This window comes from Homo sapiens, chromosome 11, assembly GCF_000001405.40.
Source record: "Homo sapiens chromosome 11, GRCh38.p14 Primary Assembly".
Lineage (NCBI taxonomy): Eukaryota > Metazoa > Chordata > Mammalia > Primates > Hominidae > Homo > Homo sapiens.
In genome coordinates, this window is record NC_000011.10 from 32,426,236 (window position 1) to 32,434,538 (window position 8,303).

General features: G+C 56.3%; 1 protein-coding gene across 19 annotated transcripts in view, besides 18 other annotated features; it reads right to left on the minus strand.

Annotated features, from left to right (window-relative positions):
- Positions 1-1,283: part of a biological region, named in NCBI's record as "WT1 intron 3 regulatory region", that runs on past the window's edge. NCBI's record gives its function as "regulatory_interactions: LOC107982234 | WT1".
- The window catches only part of WT1 (WT1 transcription factor), a 47,765-nt gene that overhangs the window by 38,461 nt on the left and 1,001 nt on the right, over positions 1-8,303 (minus strand). For 14 of the 19 annotated variants that reach the window (NR_176266.1, NR_160306.1, NM_001407048.1 and 11 more), the window contains exons 2-3: positions 2,262-2,384; positions 1,721-1,823 (exon numbers count right to left, since the gene is read on the minus strand). Coding sequence is in view for 17 of the 19 variants with exons in the window: in NM_001407048.1 (NP_001393977.1) it covers positions 1,721-1,823; positions 2,262-2,384 (226 nt within the window). In the remaining 2 variants the exon portion in view is untranslated. Of the gene's footprint in view, positions 1-1,720; positions 1,824-2,261; positions 2,385-4,294; positions 4,579-7,529; positions 7,806-8,303 lie in introns of those variants that run through there. The other 5 variants (NM_001198552.2, NM_001198551.2, NM_001407050.1 and 2 more) reach the window with 3 other exon arrangements.
- Positions 454-1,068: an enhancer, noted in NCBI's record as "H3K27ac-H3K4me1 hESC enhancer chr11:32448235-32448849 (GRCh37/hg19 assembly coordinates)". NCBI's record gives its function as "activates a minimal SCP1, AML or CMV promoter by ChIP-STARR-seq in naive and primed H9 embryonic stem cells {active_cell/tissue: H9 hESC(naive and primed)}" and the evidence as "EXISTENCE:reporter gene assay evidence [ECO:0000049][PMID:30033119]".
- Positions 626-1,283: a DNaseI hypersensitive site, noted in NCBI's record as "the nucleotide coordinates are approximate for this feature". NCBI's record gives the evidence for it as "EXISTENCE:in vivo cleavage assay evidence [ECO:0001075][PMID:9361007]".
- Positions 826-1,083: an enhancer, noted in NCBI's record as "258 bp HindIII/BamHI fragment". NCBI's record gives its function as "enhancer in hematopoietic cells" and the evidence as "EXISTENCE:reporter gene assay evidence [ECO:0000049][PMID:9361007]".
- Positions 964-993: a protein binding site, noted in NCBI's record as "GATA-A". NCBI's record gives its function as "required for enhancer activity" and the evidence as "EXISTENCE:protein binding evidence [ECO:0000024][PMID:9361007]".
- Positions 1,683-2,297: an enhancer, noted in NCBI's record as "H3K27ac-H3K4me1 hESC enhancer chr11:32449464-32450078 (GRCh37/hg19 assembly coordinates)". NCBI's record gives its function as "activates a minimal SCP1, AML or CMV promoter by ChIP-STARR-seq in naive H9 embryonic stem cells {active_cell/tissue: H9 hESC(naive)}" and the evidence as "EXISTENCE:reporter gene assay evidence [ECO:0000049][PMID:30033119]".
- Positions 2,298-2,910: an enhancer, noted in NCBI's record as "H3K4me1 hESC enhancer chr11:32450079-32450691 (GRCh37/hg19 assembly coordinates)". NCBI's record gives its function as "activates a minimal SCP1, AML or CMV promoter by ChIP-STARR-seq in naive H9 embryonic stem cells {active_cell/tissue: H9 hESC(naive)}" and the evidence as "EXISTENCE:reporter gene assay evidence [ECO:0000049][PMID:30033119]".
- Positions 3,934-4,653: an enhancer, noted in NCBI's record as "H3K27ac-H3K4me1 hESC enhancer chr11:32451715-32452434 (GRCh37/hg19 assembly coordinates)". NCBI's record gives its function as "activates a minimal SCP1, AML or CMV promoter by ChIP-STARR-seq in naive H9 embryonic stem cells {active_cell/tissue: H9 hESC(naive)}" and the evidence as "EXISTENCE:reporter gene assay evidence [ECO:0000049][PMID:30033119]".
- Positions 3,934-8,303: part of a biological region, named in NCBI's record as "WT1/WT1-AS bi-directional promoter region", that runs on past the window's edge. NCBI's record gives its function as "regulatory_interactions: LOC106707172 | WT1 | WT1-AS".
- Positions 4,613-5,004: a promoter, noted in NCBI's record as "PvuII/HindIII fragment for promoter of AWT variant of WT1". NCBI's record gives the evidence for it as "EXISTENCE:reporter gene assay evidence [ECO:0000049][PMID:14681303]".
- Positions 5,475-6,475: a DNaseI hypersensitive site, noted in NCBI's record as "hypersensitive site XI; the nucleotide coordinates are approximate for this feature". NCBI's record gives the evidence for it as "EXISTENCE:in vivo cleavage assay evidence [ECO:0001075][PMID:9407061]".
- Positions 6,649-7,849: a DNaseI hypersensitive site, noted in NCBI's record as "hypersensitive site X; the nucleotide coordinates are approximate for this feature". NCBI's record gives the evidence for it as "EXISTENCE:in vivo cleavage assay evidence [ECO:0001075][PMID:9407061]".
- Positions 6,928-6,997: a protein binding site, noted in NCBI's record as "F2/F3 overlap region; blocked by cytosine methylation". NCBI's record gives its function as "blocks activity of silencer" and the evidence as "EXISTENCE:protein binding evidence [ECO:0000024][PMID:17210670]".
- Positions 6,945-7,082: a silencer, noted in NCBI's record as "134 nt Sau3AI fragment". NCBI's record gives its function as "bi-directional negative regulator of transcription; augmented by cytosine methylation" and the evidence as "EXISTENCE:reporter gene assay evidence [ECO:0000049][PMID:17210670]".
- Positions 7,034-7,767: a promoter, noted in NCBI's record as "-647 to +87 WT1 antisense promoter". NCBI's record gives the evidence for it as "EXISTENCE:reporter gene assay evidence [ECO:0000049][PMID:7478583, PMID:10452544]".
- Positions 7,125-7,146: a protein binding site, noted in NCBI's record as "-544 WT1 site". NCBI's record gives its function as "positive regulation of antisense promoter" and the evidence as "EXISTENCE:protein binding evidence [ECO:0000024][PMID:10452544]".
- Positions 7,489-7,510: a protein binding site, noted in NCBI's record as "-180 WT1 site". NCBI's record gives its function as "positive regulation of antisense promoter" and the evidence as "EXISTENCE:protein binding evidence [ECO:0000024][PMID:10452544]".
- Positions 7,653-8,237: an enhancer, noted in NCBI's record as "H3K4me1 hESC enhancer chr11:32455434-32456018 (GRCh37/hg19 assembly coordinates)". NCBI's record gives its function as "activates a minimal SCP1, AML or CMV promoter by ChIP-STARR-seq in naive H9 embryonic stem cells {active_cell/tissue: H9 hESC(naive)}" and the evidence as "EXISTENCE:reporter gene assay evidence [ECO:0000049][PMID:30033119]".

The window sequence follows — 8,303 nt, forward strand, 5'->3', positions numbered from 1 at the left end:
GTGACACACCAACTGAGTCCACAGGGAGCTAAGGAGGAAGGGGTGGACCAAGGTCATTACGTGGGAACCATTCCAACAGCCCGCCTGATGGCTACTAGAATAACAGCAATGACACCCTGGCAATGGGCAGGAGCAGCTACACAAGAAGAATGGCAATGGCCCCGCTGCCAGTTTTGCTAGGGAAGGAGATTCACCTCAGAGAATAGGTGCGAATCCTGCCCCCATTCCAAAGACTTTACCCACCGAAGGGAGGCGCTGAGGTGGCAGGCTTGGGGCAGCATGCCGCGCCTGTGGTGCAGAACAGGAATGATTTCTAGCTAGGGACGCAGAAAAAGAAGGATGGGGAGGTGCGACCATTGGTGTTCTTGCCCACCGCCTGCCTCCACCCGCCCAAAAAAAGTGTGATGAGGAATCCAAGTTTCGAATAGATAAACCGGATGTTCCGGGGGAAAAAAAGGAAAAAAAAAGGTTTCTCCAGTCCGCGCGCCTCAGGCGTTAGAAATAGAAGGGGCGCATCCCTGCACCTCTCTAGAAACTCCCGGGAAGGAGAACCTTAGATGCGAGAGCCAGGCCAGCCCCGGGCTCACTCTCGTAAAGGCAGCAAGGGCCTGGGGCTGCGCCTCGCTCCGGATCGAGGACTCCCGCCCCTCCTCCACCTGCGGGACTGGACAGTCCCCCAGGCGCGGCCACTCCCCCACCCAATCTCCCAGGGCAGGCGCTTTTCCTTCCTTCATGACCTCACTACCTCCTTCCCTTGACGTCAGCCCCGGGTCCCCGCGCGGAGGGGAGGGAGGATGGGGATGGGTTTGGGGGCAGCCGGTGTCAGGATCCCCGAGCACCAGGGAGGAGGGGGCTATGAGGTCATGCGCGCCCAATCCCGGGCCGCACAGGCCTCGCGCTGCTGCTCCCCGGCCCCCGCCCCAACTTCCAGCCCCGTGCGGGCTGGTGTGCGCCGCAGTTACTAGGCAACCCTATCGCAGACGCGGGCGGCCGGCCAAGTTCACCCAAAGTTGAAGAAAAAATTTGGGGGAGAGAAGGTGGAGCGAGAGGCGAGAAGAGGAAGCACGGAGCGGGGAAAAGCTTGGAAGGGAATGAAGCTGGCCTTGGGCCTCCCGCTCACAGGAAGAAGGTCCCACGCGGGCCAGAGCAGCCTCCCCGCAGGGCCCTGTTGCGACCCGATCTCCGTCCTGCACCCCGGCCGGGGGCCCACCCCAGAGCGTAGCAGGGGCGCTGGGAACGACGTCCACAAAGCGCTGCCACGGGTCGAAACCCTGGAGGGTTGAGGTGGGGAGAAGGCTGTGGCCAAGGCTGTGGCCGAAGGTACGCGCCTTCGAGGTAGTCTGGCCGGTGTGGCCATTGGATGGGTTTGAGGTCTCAGAACCGAGTGGGAGTGGACTCCGTGTTTAATATTTAGTCCCGATGAAGGTAAATTCCTCCCAGTAAAGACCTTCTAAAAATAATAACTTCTCGAGCGCCGCTCCTTCTTCAGCTCGAAAGAGTAATTGTCCTCATTTTTATACAACATAAGAACAACTCAGAGACCAGGGAGATCAGCTTTAATTTCCTCTAAGTAGTAGAGTGGAGTCGAGGCGTCTCGTGCCTCCAAGACCCTGCATGCCCGCAGTCAGGGCTGCCCGGCTGGGGCGTTCCCAAGTCCGCCGGCTCATGCGTCCCCTCCGGGGTCCCAAGGACCCAGACGCAGAGCCCAGCGCCTTCCTACCTGCTGTAGGGCGTCCTCAGCAGCAAAGCCTGGCTGCCGGTGCAGCTGTCGGTGGGGGTGTGGCAGCCATAGACCGGGGGCGGCACCGAGTACTGCTGCTCACCTGCAGAGAGAACCGAAGACAGCTGAGCGAGTGCGCCCCAAGGGCTCGGGGTGCGAGGCTGCGGGCAGGGGTTGGGGGAGACACGAGATCCTGAGCCTGGGGCACTGGGGCCTGGATGAGCGGCGTGCAGAGCGAGGCCGTCCAGAATGCAAGAAGCTAAGCCTCTCACTTTGCATTCCCCTAGCAGTCGCTGCGCTGTGCACCAAAAAGGCCCTCCGGACATTCATAGACTTAGTTGGATGGCGATGTCCCTAACGTACTTGGGATGGAGGGAGACCCAGTCTTGTCCTTTAAATACAGTGCCATTGGGGTAATGATTTCTAAGGTCCTTTTAGATGTCCTCCTTTGCCTAATTTGCTGTGGGTTAGGAATTCCTGGGGGAGAGGAGGATAGCACGGAAGAAGGGGAGAAGGACTCCACTTGGTTCCGCTCGCTTACCCAGCGAGCCCTGCTGGCCCATGGGATCCTCATGCTTGAATGAGTGGTTGGGGAACTGCGCCGCATGGTGCGAGGGCGTGTGACCGTAGCTGGGCGTCCCGTCGAAGGTGACCGTGCTGTAACCTGCGGGAGCGGCGGAGAGAAGCACAGTGTCAGCGGTGCTCTCGCAAGACGGGGCAGTGGGTCTGAACCAGCCACGGGCGGGGGGGGTGTGCGCTGAACCCCGCATTCGGACCCCCAGCGGAGGAGAATCCAGCCCCACAAGCCTCCAGGACTTTCGGCAGGAAGACGGCCCAAGTCCCTGGATGTGACCTTGGGACAGGCTTCTCCATCCTTTTCTGACTAAAACCCCCACCTCGCTTTTTCCCAATTTATTTATGCCGCAGTCTTCTACGGTCTCTGCCGCTTCTGCAGCGAACCCCTGGCAAATTAAGTATAAAACTCGTTGCCTGATCGACAGAGAAGGTTGTTCACCCCCCAAAAATAAACTGCAGCTCTTCCGCAGGAGCAGCGCGGGCAAGCGAAATGAATCTGCTGGGCTAACCCCGCGTTGACTCCGAGCTGTAAATCAGGGGCCCGCGCACCAACTTTCATTAATTACTCGGAGCCAGTTAAATGGCCTGGTCTTAAAAATGGGAAGAGTAATTACCGAGTAATGTTATCTGTCTGGGGCTACCCGACCTGACACCATGACACCCAAGGGAAAGCTGGTGAGGGGGAAAACAAGGGCCCCTTCCAGTTGGGCCTTCAGATGGCGACCCTGCGCTCTCCTCCTCCTCCCCCCTATGGGACCCACCTTGCGCCCAGGGGTCCGACCCTGACCACTGCTGTAGGAGCCAACTTCCTCACTCCCCAGGCTGGACAACCAATTTCCTTTAGAGTGTGCCTGACACTGTATCTCCCTTTCCCTCCATGGTAGTGCTTCGGTCCTTTGCCTCAGTTTCCCCCTAGGGAAATCCTAGCATTCCCCCCCCCCCCCAAAGTGAGAAAAAGAGCGTGGAGCCTCAGTTGGAAAACATAGTCTTTTATAATTTTTGTTATTAAATTGCTTTAAACTTATACCCCACAAGCTTCTGGAAAGCTGTTGCTGCCTCTGGGGAAAAGGATCCTTCGGCTAAAGATACGTCATTGGCCCCGGAACCCAAGGATGGGGTCTCATTCCTCTACAAGTTCCGGAGTCTGTGGCCTGAAGTCCAGACACAATGGCTAAGGAGAGCTGCTCCTATGGGATCCTGGCAGGGCCACCCCAGCAGCCTCAGATCCTCCTGGCCCAGGACTGCCCTGGGTCTCCAAACTTCACAAAATTCTCAGGAGTAAATTGGGTCAAACAGCACCCATTCTCCCACTCTTGCACTATTTGACCAAAGTGCCTCCAAAGACTTAAGCAGGACTCAGCCGATGAGCAGGACCCAGGGCATCGTTACCTCCATTTTCGAAACACACACGGACGCTCATGCACACACACCACCACCCCCCGCCCAGAAAAAAAAAAAAAGAAAAAGAAAAAAAAAAAGCTTCTCTGGGGCAACAGAGGCATGAGCCTGGAGGGTGGTGTGGCAGAGTGCAAGGGAGGGAAGGAGGGGGCAAATCCTAACTCCCGGATAGTACAGGTCCAGGCTTAAGTCTCACACACTGCTCAGCACCACACACTGGGGATTTGAGAAGCCACTAGCTTTTATCATATGACCTCGAGGGCCTCCATTTCTCTCCTGCTAAGTGGGCAAAGATAACCCCCGGCCCCGTTAGCTCTCCTGCATGGGCGAGCACGTTTGGGCTTCCACAGACTTCCTTTTGAAACCTGAGGCCTGGCCTTCTTTGAGGCCTATAGATGAGCTTACAAACGAAATTTGGCTCAGGGCACCCACTATTGCCCGGAGTGAAGGCCGAATTTCTGAAAGGACACTAAAAAGAGAGAGAGAGAAAGAGAGACAGACACAGAGAGAGAGAGAGAGAGGGAGGGAGAGAGAGAGAGAGAGAGAGAGAGAGAGAGAGAGACGAAATAGAAGCTACGAAGAAGTTTTCTCTAGACGAACCCTTCTCCATTCCTGAGCCCAGGAGTAGGCAGGGACCCAGGGCACTGCACAATCCTCAGAGCCCTGCTCCGCAACTGTCCGTGCCCGGCGAGGGCCGTGGGTCCCGAGTCGCGGCACCCACTCTCGAGACGTCCGTCCGCACCCCAGAACTCGGGCCCAAGGATGCCCGTGGCCCGCGAGCCCTCCTAGGCCTCCTCCCAGACCGGACACGCAGACCTCGGCGGGCAAAGACCGGCCTCAAACCCTCTCCTTCAGGTCCCCCCGGGAGGGGCAGTGGTGAAAGCGCCTGCGGAGCGGAGGGAGGTCTCTTTTAATTAGAAGCTTATCGGACACGGGTTTGATTAGAGCGCGCTGTCCCTGGGCCCAGCGCTTGGCCTGGCGCGGAGAGTGCGGGGGCAGGGGCCAGGGGAGGTAAAGCTGCCGGCTGGAAGGAGCAGCGTGTTCAAAGGCTCCTTGTACAGGCCTTGGAGGGAGAGAATCGAGTGGCCAAGGTAGCGCCTTTCCCACGGTTAGTCCCGGCCCGGGAGGGGAGCGCAACCTTGACCGTGCGCTAAGAGGCGAGACGCGCTCTGTGCCCTCCTCCCCCGCCGGCGGCTGCAGAGAAGCCGGGAACCGCCTGGCCTGGCCGGGCCGTGAGAGCTGAGGGGTGAAATGGACAGCAGGCTCAGCCAGGAAGGTGCTCAGAAGGCTGAAAACGATGACTGCAGCTGCACTGTGATTGGGGAAAACCTGTCCCCCAACAAAATACCCTCTCCTGTGTGACCGGAAGAGGGAGCCTTTGGCCCTCGGGCGTCGCAGGCCTCCGCACCTGACCCTAGGGTGGCCTGATGATCCCAGGCCTAATCATGCCTTAGGGTTCTGCGAGCCTGCGGGGCTGCGGGATCAGTGGACTAGCAGGCAACCTCTTTTTTTTTTTTTTTTTTCCGAGACGGAGTTTCGCTCTGTCGCCCAGGCTGCAGTGCAGTGGCGCGATCTCAGCTCACTTCAACCTCAGCCTCCCGGGTTCAAACGATTCTTGTGCCTCAGCCTCCCGAGTAGCTGGGATTATAGGCGCCCGTCACCAAGCCCGGCCAATTTTTTTTTTTGTATTTTCAGTAGAGACAGGGTTTCACCGTGTTGGCCAGGCTGGTCTCAAACTCCTGACCTCAGGTGATCCAACCGCCTCGAGCCACCGCGTCCGGCCCAAGCAAGCTTTTTTCCCCTCCTCCTTAAGCCTTGCATCTAGTCTGGGGCTACTCAAGTCCTCACCCCACATCTGCCCTCACAAACCCGTCAACCCCCACACATGGACTAAGAGTTTGGTGCCCCTCCCGCAGGCCAGAAGAAATCCATCTCAACGGTGGGGCCAAGATCCCTGGAAAAGGAGTAGAAACACCCTAGCATGGTCTGGGTTCAAATCCCACCTCTGCCACCTAATCTCATAGAACCTGGATTTCCTCATCCAAAACAAGGGGCCTCTCCAGGATTAGCTGGTGAGCTTCTTGCAAAGGTTCTCGAGGCCATTGTCTTAATTAATATTCAGAACCCAGTGCCTGACCAAGTAGGCGATTGATGTTTGCTAAATTAATGTTTACAAGATTAGGATGCAAGATATAATATTTAAGAATTTAAAATATGAACATGCTTGTGAAGTTTTGGGCGGTTGTGAGTGGGTACCAACAATTGCCCCTGCCTGTGCACCATGGCTAGACTGCCCTAGGGATCCAGAGACGGCCTTGATTCCTCTCCCCTGGGGTTTGGCCTTGGCGCTCTGATGGCCATTTCCACATTTTTGAGAGTTGATGCCCTTGCCTCTCACAGCCCAAGTCTTGGGCCAGGCCCTGCATTCCTGGGGAAGCAGCAGGAACCCTGGAAATCCAAAGAATAAACCCAGAATCTCGAGGGCCACCCTTGCCCACTCCAGGATAGCAGCCGGAGCGCTTCTCACATCCAAGCTGCCCAATGAGCCTCAAGGGCTGGGTAAGATGGACCCATCTGTTTTCACTGCAAGACAAAACTTAAACCTGGAGATGGTGCTTCCAGGCTATATGACTTGAATCTAGGGCCCTCTCTCCATTGGGCTTTTTCTCCAGGGTGGAGAAGAAGGATACATTCACCTACTAGTCCTGGTCCCCTTTTAACTTTTTCTCCATGGCAGCCACGCCTGTATATTACAGAAGAATCCAGATATTTTCCAGAAGTGTAATGCCTGCTGGCTGCAAAACCCACAGTCCCACCCCCCACGACATGTGATAAGATCCCAGGCACCAGACCTGCCCTGAAAAGGGCTGGACAAGGGACCCAAACGAAGCGACAGAACCCAGGTTTCAAAAATCCCCTAGAAGTACTAAAAAGATAATGGCGTAGTAGTATTTTGTGCCCCAGGGGCATGGATTCGATGGTTTCTCAACCGCCTCCAAATAGCACACATGCAGACAGTGCTCTCGGATTCATTGTTTCTCAGTCACAGATGTTTAGATGGGTTGCCGAGTTCCATATTTAAAGCCCCAAGAGGGTGGTGGGTAGCGCTTCTGCATCTATGGAGTATAACTTCAAGCCGGACCCAATCTCCAGGTTGCCCATCTCAGCTGTCCTCTTATAGACGGGGACACTGAGACCTAGAAACTCCCCAAAAGTAACACCAGCCTGCTAAACAAAGGTGGCGCGATCTGATCAAAGAACACAAGCCTCAGCGACCAGTAAGTTGTCCCAACGCCCCTTGAGTACAAAACACTAATTTCACTAACTAAAAGCATAGAGTGGAGGCAACCCTTGGGTCTGCTTGCGGTTCCTCCACAGGACAGTGATCCCAGATTCTCCCGAAGAAAAGGGCGGTTTCGATTTCTCCAAGGCTTCGCGGGGGCCGGGTGCTCCTGGTTAGGCTAAGGTAGGAGCGGCCTGAAGACGCGCGTTTAGAAGGCGCGGGTGAAGGCGGGCAACAAGGGCAGAGCCCTTCTCCCGAGCCTTGGGCGAAGGTACCTCCTGCAAAAGATACACTCTGCTTCCCACGCATTCCAAAAACATCCCGGTCCCTAGGCCCTCGAGTAATTTTGCTCCAGGAAAAGCATCCGCCATTGTATTAGTAAAGCGTTTACTAAATTACCGAATCAAACCGAACTGGCTTAGGTTCTCAATAGCGTGGAAATCCACTGAAAATAAATGAAGAGGGCAAACTACAGGGGCTCCGCAGGTTCGGGTCCGCGCCGCCCAGGCGAAAGAGAGGTGGGCGGGCATCGGCGCGGGATGAGAAACCAACCTGATACTTATCGTGTGCCGAGTTCCCTCCTTGTATCCTGACTAAGCACAGCGAATAACCCTGTCCTTGTTCTAACCCCAGGTCTTGAAGAAATACTGTCCCAGCTGAGCCCCGCGTTTACAAGATGAAGAGGCGCCCCAGATGCGCTGAAAGAAAGGCCAAAGCTCGTGCCTCCTTCCACTGCCTGCGGTAGAACCTGGTCCCGCATAGCTTGGACTCGGATAAGTCAAGTTCTCTTCCATCCCCAGAACCTGCGTGGCCGCCGCCTGAGCGAAGCCCAGTGAAGATCCACTTCTGTATTACCATACGCGGGAGCTATCCACGGACACGACGCTGTTCCAGAAAGCCATTTAGTTACTGGAGGTGCATGTGCTCATTCTAGTTCTCTACGATACTTAATGTGCACCTAAGTGTGTGCCAACACCGTATTATAAGGGCTGGAGGTGCTCCTGGACATTTTAGCGCTGCGGAGGCAGCACAGCACAGGCGCTCACCCCCGCGCTGGTCCCACTCCGAATCCAGAGTCCAGACGTCTGAAAAGCGCTACGCTTGGTGACAATTTGGCGTTTCCTTAATTAACAAAACTCTCCCCAAGGCAGAGCCAGACACTGCGCCGGTCTCCTGGTTCCACTCCCGTGGGGACTAGCAGTCCCGGAATCTCTCGGACTCTAAGGGGCCCCAGACGCCCTCCCGGCTCTTGCGAACAGTCAGGCTCCTAGCTCTGCCTGGCTTTGGAGGATGTCGGGGGCCAGTGCCTGCGTGCACTCCCACTCT